At 37.4% G+C, this 13,249-nt stretch overlaps 1 protein-coding gene across 16 annotated transcripts in view, besides 2 other annotated features; it reads right to left on the bottom strand.

The window, feature by feature from the left end:
• Window positions 1-13,249, bottom strand: part of SPAG16 (sperm associated antigen 16) — a 1,126,038-nt gene that overhangs the window by 364,533 nt on the left and 748,256 nt on the right. The gene's annotated exons all lie outside the window — the stretch shown is intronic.
• Window positions 9,938-10,914: an enhancer, noted in NCBI's record as "H3K27ac-H3K4me1 hESC enhancer chr2:214899779-214900755 (GRCh37/hg19 assembly coordinates)". NCBI's record gives its function as "activates a minimal SCP1, AML or CMV promoter by ChIP-STARR-seq in primed H9 embryonic stem cells {active_cell/tissue: H9 hESC(primed)}" and the evidence as "EXISTENCE:reporter gene assay evidence [ECO:0000049][PMID:30033119]".
• Window positions 10,915-11,893: an enhancer, noted in NCBI's record as "H3K27ac-H3K4me1 hESC enhancer chr2:214898800-214899778 (GRCh37/hg19 assembly coordinates)". NCBI's record gives its function as "activates a minimal SCP1, AML or CMV promoter by ChIP-STARR-seq in naive and primed H9 embryonic stem cells {active_cell/tissue: H9 hESC(naive and primed)}" and the evidence as "EXISTENCE:reporter gene assay evidence [ECO:0000049][PMID:30033119]".

The following is a 13,249-nucleotide window of genomic DNA, read 5'->3' as shown; positions in this document are numbered from 1 at the left end:
TACTTAGTCTGGCTCAAAGTATGTCAATTTTAACTTTTCAAAAAACTGTCTTTTTGTTCCATTGATCTTTTGTATTCCTTTCTTCATTTCAAATTCATTTATTTCTGCTCTGATTTTTATTATTTCTTTTCTGCTAATTTTGCATTTGGTTTGCTCTTGCTTTTCTAATTCTTTAAGAACTAGGTTAGGTTATTTGTTTGAAGTTTTTCTTCTTTTTTTGATGTAGGCACTTAAAGCTATAAACTTGCCTCTTAGTACTGCTTTGGCTGTATCCCACACATTTTAGTATGATGTGTTTTCATTAACATTTGTTTCAAGAAAATTTTAAATTTTCTTCTTAATCACTTCATTAACTCATTGATCATTCCCAAGAATATTCAGGACAGCCTGCTTGGTGCTCTAACCCCCAGGGATGAGGTGATATCTAAGGTGAAAGACAAAGTCCCCTTTACGTTTCCCTCTGCTTTCTCAAGCAAGAGTCTCTCCCCATAGTTACCACATCTTGGAATGTGCTGAGTCTCAGCTGAAGCCAGAAAGTCTCAGGGTGTCATCCAAGGCCAATGGCATACAACCTGGATATTGCTGCTGATTATTCAGGGCCCAAGAGCTTTTTAATCAACAGGTGATGGATCCTGCCAGGACTGGGTCTTTCCCTTCAGGGCAACAGGTTCCCTTCTGGCCCAGGGTATATCTAGAAACGTCATCCAGGAGCTAGGGCCTGGAAAGGAGGTCTCACAACTCTTACGGTGCCCTATCCTACTCTGGCAGAGCTGGTATTTAAGATGCAAGACAAAGTTCTCTTTATTATTCCCTCTGCTCTCCTCAAGTAGATGGAAGGGGTCTCTTTTGGGGCACAAGCTGTGCAGCCTGGGGCTGGGGGAGGGGCTGCATAAGCACTCGCTTACCACCCTGACTGGTGTCTCAGTAGGTCAATGTGCCACCAAAGTGCAGTGGCTCTGAGCCCAGCTCAGCACTAGGAATTGCCTAGGTGCTGCAGTCCTGGTTTTCTAGCCTACCTTTCAAGTTTATTTAGGGCCCCAGAGCACTTCCGCCCACAGTGTTAAGGCTTGCTAGAACTCAAATTCCAACCACTGGGATGGGCAATTCCTCTCTGGCTAGGGCTGGTTTAAACACTTCCTCCAAGGGCAGATATCAGCTGAGTTCAGTCCAGTTTTGCTTTGTGCTGTGACAGGGCAGCACTGAGTTCAATGCAATGCCTCACAATTGTTGAACTCTCCCTCTCTTAAGTGCAAAAATTTTCTCTCCATCCCATGTGGCCTCTGCCAGGGGATGAAGGAGGGGTGGCAATGGCAATTCAAGACTGTCTTTTCTATCCTTTTCAGTGCCTCTTTCAGTATGAAGTTAAAAGCAGGTACTCTGAATGCTCACCTGATTTTTGGTTCTGATGAAGGCAATTTTGGTGTAGATACTTGTTAATTTTGTGTTCTTGTGGGTGGGATGATGGATGAAGCTTTATATTCTTCCATATTGTTCCACCCTCCCCCAAATAATGTTTCATTTCTTTCTTAAAAGCCATCTATCAAGTTGTCCAGGGGTGGACGTGACTTCAGAGAGTGTCTATAAGCAACTCTGTTGATTGGGAGAAACCACAGCACGGTAGCAGAAAGAATAGTATTTTATGAATGGAAAGATGAACATGACATTTATAGCATTTCTCAAAATTATTTTATTACTTAGAAAATGTATTACTTAGAGTATTTAGAACACAGAAACAGTTCTTAGTCCTTTATAAATTAAAAATAATGCATATGTAAAGATTGCTATTATGATATTCTTTGTATTACATTTTTATGGAAGAAATTGGAAAACAACAAGAAAATGTTGACATGAAATATAAAAGAAACAGAGAAAACAAGACCTTTGGGGAATAATCCACCACACCTCTGCTCAGAAAATAAGACAATAATATATAATTCTTACTCTATATAAAATTAGAGACTAAAGAACAGGGAAGAATAATAGGAAGTTATGTGTAGTTAAGCAGTATATAGATATAGAACTTTGATTTACTACAATAATAATAAGGGACTTATATGGTATATGTATACATATGCTTGTGTGTATTACATGAACATATAAGTGTGTATATGTTATATGAATATATAAACATATATAGTATTAAATATACAAACTATTGACATTATTTTCTAATCTTCAAAGGGATTTAATAAAAAATCTTCATTCTGTCTCAGATACCATAAATATAATATCAATTATCTAAGCAATTCGGCCACTACACTGTTCTTCAGGTGACTGAATCGTAAGGCATGAAGTCTGCTATTTATATACAGATAGACCAGAGCTGCAACCAGGTAAATGAATTGTTCTAACATCACAATATATGACTGAGTTTTTTCCCCATTTCCATTACATCAATTTTTCTGACAATTATGTATTTAATACCCACGGTTTTAGAAAAAAATACAAAAGAGAAAATCACAGCAAATCAATGAAAGAAAGAAATTAAAGCAGCTTGCCTGAAATTGATTAATTTCCTTTTGGGGGGTTGAGTGCTCCTGGGGAAAAATGTTGGCAGCTGACCCCATTCTACCTCCTTGCTAATGAGATATTTGGTTAAATGGACTATAGATATTTGCTAGAAAGAAGAGACTTAATCTCTGAAATGCACTTCACAAGATGTCCTAACTAAGGGTAAACTATAGAAACCAGGATATATCAGGCTCTTCTCCCTGGAAAATGTGAAATAGGCTATACTAGTGTTAGATTTATTAAATGAGGGTGTTTCATAATTTAAATATTCCCACTGCATGAGGTGATCTCAAGGTTGTCATATAGAGATCTGATCTAGTATCCTTGGGCAGAACTGCATGACTAAGGTGAAAATACAGGATCTGATATGTGACCTTTGGTGTACCAGAGTCCTCACTCTACTTTGCATGAGTTTTTTTGACATTATTTAGTAAAGCTTGAATATTAGGTAAGATCTCAGATTCTTATAAGTCTGATTTGAAAATTCATTCTTTTATGTTAGCTCACTGTCCTCAAGAGATTCTTCTGTTAACAACCAATATATAGACCATAAAACCTTTTTTAACCCACTATACTAACAAAGTAAAAATGTGCTATATTTCATCAAAACTTCCCTCTAACAAAGGTGGAATTTTTTTACTGCTGAGCACTTTAGCTTGGGTAGATAAATTTGCAGGAGACTCTTAGGAGAGTTGCATTGCTCTCTGTACTAGAATGAGAAGATTTTTAGACTCTGTAACACAAATCAGGAATGAGAAGCACAGAAATAAGGAAAAGAAAGTGTGAAGACATCATTCACTTAGTATGTTCAAATCTTCGCCAAAGTTTCAATCTTAGGAAACATTGAACTATCTTTATTTCTTGTAGAATCTCTTCCAAAGGATAATATTTTTCCTATGATGAGATAGGGGGAAAACAAATAAAGAAATTTTGTTTGGGCACAGAAAAGAATATGAAGCCTCAAACATGTATAAAATAGAGGTAAGGAGTTTTTGTTGTTGTTGTTGTTGTTGTTGTTGTTGTTTTGTTTTTGTTTTTACTTCTTCATGGGATAAAATTTTGGGGTTGGGGCAAAAGTAACTGCAGTTTTTCCCATTACTTTTAATGCAAAAACCACAATAACTTTTGCACCAAACTAATATATATCCGGGTCAAGTTTAATTTGGTATCCAAGGTTTAGAAAACTTCCAGCTGAAATTAGCTGGGCATGGTGATGCACGTCTGTAATCCCAGCTACTTGGGAGGCTGAAGCAGGAGAATCACTTGGACCCACGAACCCAGGAGATAGAGGTTGCAGTAATTCAAGATCGTGCCACTGCACTTCAGTCTGGGCAACAGAGAGAGACTCTGTCTCAAAAAAAAAAGAAAAAGAAAAAGAAAAAGAAAACTTCCAGCTGATAGGTTTTGGTACACTTATTACATGTTTGTGTATATATTTGTGTGTGTGTGTATATATATATATATATATATATATATATACACACACAGACACACAAATATATACACAAACTATATATATATAAATATATACACAAAAGATATATATAATATATACACAGACTATATATAAATATGTACATATTTAAATTGGATTAAATAACACCTCCCACAAGGTGTTATTGTTTTGTTTAAAAATATTTCAGAAAACATCTTCCCTGTGTGTGTGAAAATACTGCAACAATGTAGATCAGAGCAGTGATCACAGGGAAAGAATATGCATACAGTATGCAAGGAATCAGTCTTCAAGAGGTTGGCATCAGTCTTCAAGAAGAGAATCAAAAGCAAGAAATAAGTGCCCTTTGGAAATTATATGGTGAAGTGAAAAAGAAGCGAGAGAGAAATTTAGATTGAGCAAGATAAGAGACAATACAATACAATTGGAAGACTAATAACTTAGTCCCTTATAAAATCTTCCCCTAAAAAAAAATGCACTTTGTAATGAAACTATGCTTTTTTCACACTGACTACATAGGACATTTTTTAGCCATGATTTAAAAAAAAAAAAGAAACTACTACAAATCACCAACCTAGACCATTAAAATGTAGAAGTGCAAAGAGTCTTTGTTTATTAAAAACTACAAAAAGAAATCAGAGAATGAGAATATAAACAATTCAGCTGATACAATCCTCCTTCTGCAACCCCCAAAAAGTAACAGTGAAAAAGAAGAAAACTTTAACACAATACTCCAAACTAAATTAATGAACAAACACTTTGAGGTATGGAGCAAAAACAAAGCAAAACAGAACAAAAAACTTAAACCATAAATTCAAACACTAAAAAGAGAAAAAAAAGGATTTAAAAAGACAAAATCATATCAGAAAAAGTAAATTACGAGATACCCAAGAAAGAATATATTCAAATAAAAGTATAACAATGTTCATTTAAAAAATAGAAAAACAACAAAGAAAATAAAAATAAAATAAACAAAAAGGCTCAGAAAGAAAGTGCTTAAAATGGAAGATAGGCAAAGAAGATCCAATTTACTATAACTGGAGTCTCCAAGGAATATAAGTAAAATAATGGAAAAGAATTAATTTTTAAAGGACAATTCAAATAGCCTTTCAGAAATAAAAGAAGTCCTGAATCTAAATGCTGAAAGGGCTCAATGAGTAGCAGAGAAAATTGATTAGTAATAATCAGTTCAAAATGATGTTAAAGTAAAAATACCAAATTTTTACAGATGAAGAAGAAAAATATGCAGACTTTAGCCAATAAATAAAGAAATAAAAACAATGACAAGAAAAATAGTTGGCATCAGACTTCCAAAACGCTACATACAAAATAAGGTACTCCATATACCCCATGGAATACTATGCAGCCACAAAAAAGAATGAGATCATGTCCTCTGCAGGGACATGGATGGAGCTGGAGGCCATTATCCTTAGTTAGTAAACTAACACAGGAACAGAAAACCAAATACCACATGTTCTCACTTATAAGTGGGAGCTAAATGATGAGAACACATGGACACATAGAGGGGAACAATACACACCGGGGATTTTGGGAGGGTAAAGGGTGGGAGTGGAGAGAGGATCAGGAAAAACAACTAATGAATACTAGGCTTAATAACTGGGTGATGAAACAAACCCCTATGACACAAGTATACCTATGTAACAAACCTGCACTTACACCCCTGAACTTAAAATAAAAGTTTAAAAGAATGGAAGAAAGAGATATCAGTCCTTCCCCCAAATTCAACTACACTTCTAAAGCAAATGAGAGACCACCAGGCTAGGAGGATAGAGGGGCCTGAATTCTGCTAAGGTGTAGACATAAGCAATTGCCAGCCATTATTCTGGAGGTCCCAGGCTATGCAACTTCCCCTATTACTCCTGCAGATAACATCACTATTGCAGAAGCTAAGCTTGGCCCTTTAAGATATCTTTTCAGGTTTTTTCCATGTCTGACGACCATTGGCTCCACCTGGGCCCACTAACCACTCCTGTGGCCCCACCAGAAATGACTGAGTGTGCAGAAGGACAATTTTCTACAACCCTATGACTGTACCCCTAGCCAATCAGCTGCAAGCAACCCTAGGCTGCAAGCCTAACCACCCCCACCGCTCACCCAAACTATCTTTGAAAAACCCTAGCCCCTAAAGTCTCAGAGAGGTTGTTTGAGTAATAACTCTATCTCACTGTGGTATGGCCAGCTTCATGTGTATTAAACTTTATCTTTATTGCCAAATACAAAAACAAAGCAAAATAAGGTAGAGAGGAGTAGCATTTTCAAATAATTCAAGGGAAGATGGTATGAATGAAAAATTTTATAGCCAGTTAAGTGGTCAGTCAAGGATCAATGCTATGGAAAAACAGTTTTAAGTGCCACAGAATCCAACAAAGAAATGAATTTCTTGTAAATTTGTTGGAGTTCATTGCAGATTCTGGATATTAGCCCTTTGTCAGATGAGTAGATTGCAAAAATTTTCTCCCATTCTGTAGGTTGCCTGTTCACTCTGATGGTAGTTTCTTTTGCTGTGCAGAAGCTCTTTAGTTTAATTAGATCCCATTTGTCAATCTTGGCTTTTGTTGCCATTGCTTTTGGTGTTTTAGACATGAAGTCCAAACAACCCCATTAAAAAGTGGGCGAAGGATGTGAACAGACACTTCTCAAAAGAAGACATTTATGCAGCCAAAAGACACATGAAAAAATGCTCATCATCACTGGCCATCAGAGAAATGCAAATCAAAACCACAGTGAGATACCATCTCACACCAGTTAGAATGGCGATCATTAAAAAGTCAAGAAACAACAGGTGCTGGAGAGGATGTGGAGAAATAGGAACACTTTTACACTGTTGGTGGGACTGTAAACTAGTTCAACCATTGTGGAAGTCAGTGTGGCGATTCCTCAGGGATCTAGAACTAGAAATACCATTTGACCCAGCAATCCCATTACTAGGTATATACCCAAAGGATTATAAATCATGCTGCTATAAAGACACATGCACACGTATGTTTATTGCGGCACTATTCACAATAGCAAAGACTTGGAACCAACCCAAATGTCCGTCAATGATAGACTGGATTAAGAAAATGTGGCCCATATACACCATGGAATACTATGCAGCCATAAAAAATAATGATTTCATGTCCTTTGTAGGCACATGGATGAAGCTGGAAACCATCATTCTCAGCAAACTATCACAAGGACAAAAAACCAAACACTGCGTGTTCTCACTCATAGGTGGGAATTGAACAATGAGAACACATGGACACAGGAAGGGGAACATCACACACCAGGGCTTGTTGTGGGGTAGGGGGAGGGGGGAGGGATAGCATTTGGAGATATACCTAATGTTAAATGACCAGTTACTGGGTGCAGCACACCAACATGGCACATGTATATATATGTAACTAACCTGCACATTGTGCACATGTACCCTAAAACTTAAAGTATTAAAAAAAATCTAAAAAAAAAGAAATGAATTGAGAAATTTCAGCAGTATTACAAATGGTAAGCTTTTAGTATATGTAATTGTAAATCTAAGACTAAAACAAAGATAAAGTTGAGAGTGGAGTAATAATATTTTATGTTATATGCTACATAGTGTGTGTTATATGTTCTGACAAAGTAGAAATAACAGAACTGAAATTGACAGAAGAGAGAAAATAGGGAAGTTGCTGTGTAGGTAATAGTTTGTGTTAAAATATGTCATTCAAAATGCAAACAACACAGAAACATGTTAAAACAAAAGCAAAAGAATAAGAAAATGTAAAAAGAATTAAAAATTGACTGCTAGAACAAAAGTACAGTCTTTCCTAAACACCAAAAGAAATTACAAAATAGAATAAAAGAGGTCAATACTCTACTTTGTATAGAGAAACACAGCAAATATAACACAGTACACATGATAATTATTACATAAAATAACAGAGCTGACATTAGACATTTAGCACGTCAATTAATGTGAATGGATAAGATTAACACAACCATTAGAAGGAAATTATTTTCAATTTGACTCACAAAGTAAAACCCAATATGTTCTGCATCCAAAACATATGCAAAATAATTCAGAAAGGCTAAATAGAAAGACTTGGATACACACACACACACACACACACACACACACACACACACACACACACACACCAGGCTTCTGGGAATAATAACAGAGCAAAGGCAATATTGGTATCAAACAAAGTTAATATTAAACTTTGCTAAGAAGCATTAAATATGGGAAAAATTATTCTTTTCAATGTTAAAAGCCTGAATTCACAAAATAGGCATGACAACTATCAATATCTATGCACCAAAATAACATAGTAGACACTTTTATAAAGCAAAAAATTAAGGAGAATCAAAAAGACACAGATAGAAACATACAAGCCTAGGAGATGTTAATATATCAGAATTGATATAAGATCAATCAAGTGCACACAGAACAGGATATAGAAGTCCTGCAAAACCTAATCAGTAAGGTAGATATTATACACACAGAACTTTACACTCAAGTAATAGTGAATACATCTTCTTCTCAAACATTCATTGGGCATTCTTAAAATGTAATCATATACTAAGTTACATAAGTACATTTCATAATTATAAATATTACAATTTAATCTCTAATAACAAAAAACAGATTATTTTAAAATAAAAAAGGTAAAAGGTCATACGATTGGAATAAATAATCAAAAATAACTTTTATTAAACAAGTTGGGTGAATATGAAAATACAAAACAAATTTAAAGAATTTCTAAACAAGGAATAATAAAAACATACACATATATGTGTATATTAAAGTATACATACTATCTATCTCTATTTATATGAGAATCTGTGGCACATAAAATAGTGATAAAAGGAAACCCTATAACCTCAAACATTTCATCAATAAAAATGAATATGCCTAAATGAATTAAATTATCTGCTTAAAAATACATGAATATATAAAGAAATCAACTAAACGACAACACAAGAAAGGAAATAATTTAGTTAAAAGTGAAATTTAATATAGATCTCACTTTTAGAATATTAGTATTTCACAGACACAAAAAAGAAAATAATAAAACAAAAAGGAAGGTGAAAAATTCTAAAATTGAACAGAAACAGAAACAAATGACCCAGTATACTTTAAATAAATAATATTTTGAATAAATAACACTAAGAAGTAATGGGAGAAGATCTAACCATAGTTGGACTATATGTTTTCCAGCTAAAGACAAAAAGAACCCTAAATAAATACTGAATGCTACTGAGTAGGCCTCTTTCTTAGATGTCTAGGTTAGTAACACTGACCCTACTTTCTGTACATTGTAAGATTAAACATGTAAGTGAATATATTATAAATAATGGGAGCTGTTTGTCACTAGTAGAGAGGACAGTTATAAGTATAAAAAGGGAGAAAATACAATTATCCTGCTATGTTGGAATGGAAGCAGAGAAACCAGTGTGTATCAACTGTTTTTAATATAGCTAGTTAGCTAAATAGAGACAGGTGAGTGAGTGTAATACACAGTTATCTTTCTATTTCTGGCTTTGTTTATTAATATTAACAATGCCTAGAAGCAACGACTCCCCTGTGGTGATGGTTACAGATAGAACCCTAATCTTGATCTCTAATACCATTCTGTACTGAAAGGAACCAGAGTTTCTTGAAGAAATGGCTGACTCCAGTGCTAAGCCAAGGAAAGTACAAGAGGACCCTGCAACATTCTGTGCTGAAAGTTGGGAGAGTGCTCAAAGAATTATGGTCCATGTCAAAAGGGCAACTGTGGCCTACTTGAAAAAATTTCCATTGGCCAAGAATGTGACAATTTGAACATTCAAATAAATAATGACAATAAGAATAACCTATTGTACAAAATAGAAATACATTAATCCACTGATATAAATGAAAATTAGGATGAAGGAAAAGCTATTCCTTTTGGTAGAAAATAAATTAATAAAAATAAATGATGGAATTTAAAAATTATCATAACAACCATCTTGGTAGTAATCAATGAAAGTGAGAATCATCAATGGATATTAAAACTAGTCATGGCAGTGGTGGTTAATCTACAGCGGCCACTGCATGACACCGGCTGCAGTGGGGAAGGCATGCCAGGGCTGTGCACTCCATGGAGCTGGCAGGATCTGGGAACAGGCAGAAGTGCCATCCCCTTCTGAGTTGACAGGGCAGGAACTTCGTGCTCCCTGGGCACAGCTCTGACCATCCAGCCATGGCTGTGGATGTGGGCTTCCTTGTGCTTTTGGAGGCTGGAAGCAGGCAAGAGCACAGTTACAGCCACCCAAGCCATGGCTGCAGACCTGGCAGCTCTGCACTCTTGGGGGCACAGGAAGGACCCCCGCCCCCAGGGGCTCAGAAGTGTCTGCTCCTACTGTCTGCCCTCTCCCTGCTCCTGGCGCACACTCCAATCTTGGAGCAAGATTGGGGCTGAGCCTGGGCACTGTTGCAGGTTGCCAGTGTGTGCACACTCTCAAGGCAGCACTGACATGCCAGTCCCCTGTTGCCTCAGCCCCCTCTGGACTTTGGGCACCAACAAGTATGTGAGGGGGGTTGAGGGGCTGCTGAGGGCAGCTTGGCATTGGCCTACAGGTTTCCCTTGGCATGAATGGCCTGGGCGCCATGAATGGCAGCAGAAAGCAGACAGGCTCCTGGGCATAAGGGGCAGGTCCCTGGTGAAGTCCCACCTGTGAGCTGGGGAGGGCCTGAAGCCTGGGGGCCGGGCTGCTGGGCCCATGGACGCGAGTGGGAACTTGTGCTTTATTCAGGCTGCTCATAGATTAATCAGTGTGCACTTCCTCCCCTCTGAGGCCCATAAAAGCCCCAGACTCAGCCAGACTTGAGGAGATGATGATAAGACCAGCTGCAGAGAGGAGCTACCTACCCCACGGTCTCCTCTCTGCAGAGAGCTGAATACTTGTTGTGACACCCTAGCTGTGGAGAGTAGCTATCCACTGCGTGTCTCCTCTGAGCTGTTACATCACACAATAAAGCTCCTTTTCACCTTGCTCACCATCCACTTGAAAAATAGAATTATTCAGCTCCACTTGTCCACATACCTCATTCTTCCTGGGCACAGGTTCAAGAACTCAGGACCTGCCGAATGGCAGGGATGAAAGAGCTGTAACATGAGCAAGGCTAAAACATGGCCCTTGCTTGCCATGTTGCAGGCAAAAAGAAGGAGAGAAGATCTGCAGCCCTTAGGGGAGCCCAGACCTAGGAGCTCCTTAAGCCAGGGCCGTGACATCCTCTATGGGGCTTTGCAGTTCCTGGCATCTTAAAGCTTCCAGGTGCTGCAGCATTCCCTGGTGCCAGCTGTGGAAGCTGCTTTCAGGATGTCTGGTCTGGCTGCAGCCTCACAGGGAGCCAGCACCTGTGTCAGTGCCTGGAGCTGCCCACCCCGCTGCAGCCAGCGTGCCTGGCTATGCACAGTGGCTAGACCCCATGCTGTCTCTCTCACACACCCCTTGCTGCTCCACTTGCCCTTGGCAGGCATGCAATCCAGGCCAGAGGTGTGAGCTAACAGCAGCCTGCTGAGTTGGCCCAGCAGGCCCAAGCAAAACTCAAGCAAAGACACCACTGGCCATGGAGGTTTCCAGCTGGCAAAGCAATGCCCCAAAGATCCTGTAACACTAATAGGTGAAATCTGGAGAACACATGGGATATTTAACACAGTGTGAAAATAATAAGATATTTTTTAATTACAAAGTTAAATATTCTGCTTTACAGTAGAGAGACAGCAGAGTCTACCATAACCAAGTGATCAAAGTTAACATCACCGTTAATGACACTGATCAACAGCATGTGCCTCCTGATATAAAATTCTGTGAAAAGAGCATCACTTCTGAGGTATTTCTATGAAACCTGCATAAGGTGAATGTAAACAAGAAGAAATATTAGACAAACACAAATCGGGAGACATTCTATAAATAGCTGGCCTGTACTTTTCCAAAATGTCAATATCATGAAACACAATGAAAGAGAAATGAACTATTCCAGATTAAAGGGAACTAAAGAGACAAGACAACTAACTGAATGCAATACATGATTATGGATTTTCTTTTGTTATAAAGGCACTATTGGGGCAGGTTAACAAATTTGAAAAAGTTCTGTAGATTAGATAGCTGTATCAGTGTTAAAACTGAATTGGATAATTTTTCTAAGATTGTTTCAGAGAATGTTGTTGTTTTTAGATATTATACCCTGGTATATTTGGAGGTGTATTTAGAGGTGAAGGGGTATCATGCCTACAATTTAGTCAATATTTTGGAGAAATATAAGTCTATTTCTCTCTCTCAGACAAAGAGAGAAAAATATAAAAAAAAATAGTAAAATGTTAACACTTGGGAAATCTGGGTGAAGTGTCTGTTGTGTTATTCTTACAACTTTTTGGTAAGACTGGACCTATGTCTAAATGAGTGAATGGATGGATGCATGAAGGCATGAATAAATGGTTGAATATAATCTTTTTGTGTCATGTTCTCATCAGCTCACTGCTACCATCTTGTCCCTAGTCCACCAAACTCTTCTGCCTGGATTATTGTCTTCCAGCCCCCTCTCAGTCTCTTCTCAGCAAGAAAGCCACAGTAATTCTTCGAAAATATAATCAGATCATGCCACTTCTCTGCATCTAACTCTGCCAAAAACCCAGTGCCCTTTTCACACTGTACTGAAATAACATGTTTATATATGTTTTTCAACCACAAAACTATAAATATCTCAAGCAAAGAATTACATTTTATTTACATGGGCCTTATTTCCCCTTGCCCACACCCACATACCCATAAGAATAATGACAGTAATCTTGGGGAAAAATAAGTGATCATGCATTTGCTGCAGTTGTCACCTACTTTATCGGTTTATTAGTTATTACACATTATTACCTTAATTTGGTTCCCTCTGCTTTGACCAAAAATATTTCATGTTTCCAATAATTGCAGGAAAACGATAAACATTTTCTGACTTTGTCTTTCTCTGCTGCCTGATTTATCTGAAAATTTTCATGTCAGAGGAGATGTGTGTGTTCTCTGTTAACAGTCTTTTGAATTTCTAAACAAGTCGTGTCTTTCTGATTCTTTGTATAACATAAAAAAAGCATTTTATGGATTATGGATATTTCTGTTCCTGAGGCTTAGATTATGCCATAAGAGGGAAAGAAAAGGACCACTGAACATTTGCTCATCCATAGTCTTTGCACCTAAACTTTTCCAAGCCAGAAACACTTGGTATGCCTCCAAAGTAAATCTACATCAAAAATTAATATAGAATTTGGGGTTTTACTTTATCTTTTC

The sequence above is a fragment of the Homo sapiens genome, chromosome 2, assembly GCF_000001405.40.
Source record: "Homo sapiens chromosome 2, GRCh38.p14 Primary Assembly".
NCBI lineage: Eukaryota > Metazoa > Chordata > Mammalia > Primates > Hominidae > Homo > Homo sapiens.
This window is presented reverse-complemented; position numbering and strand designations above follow the sequence as displayed.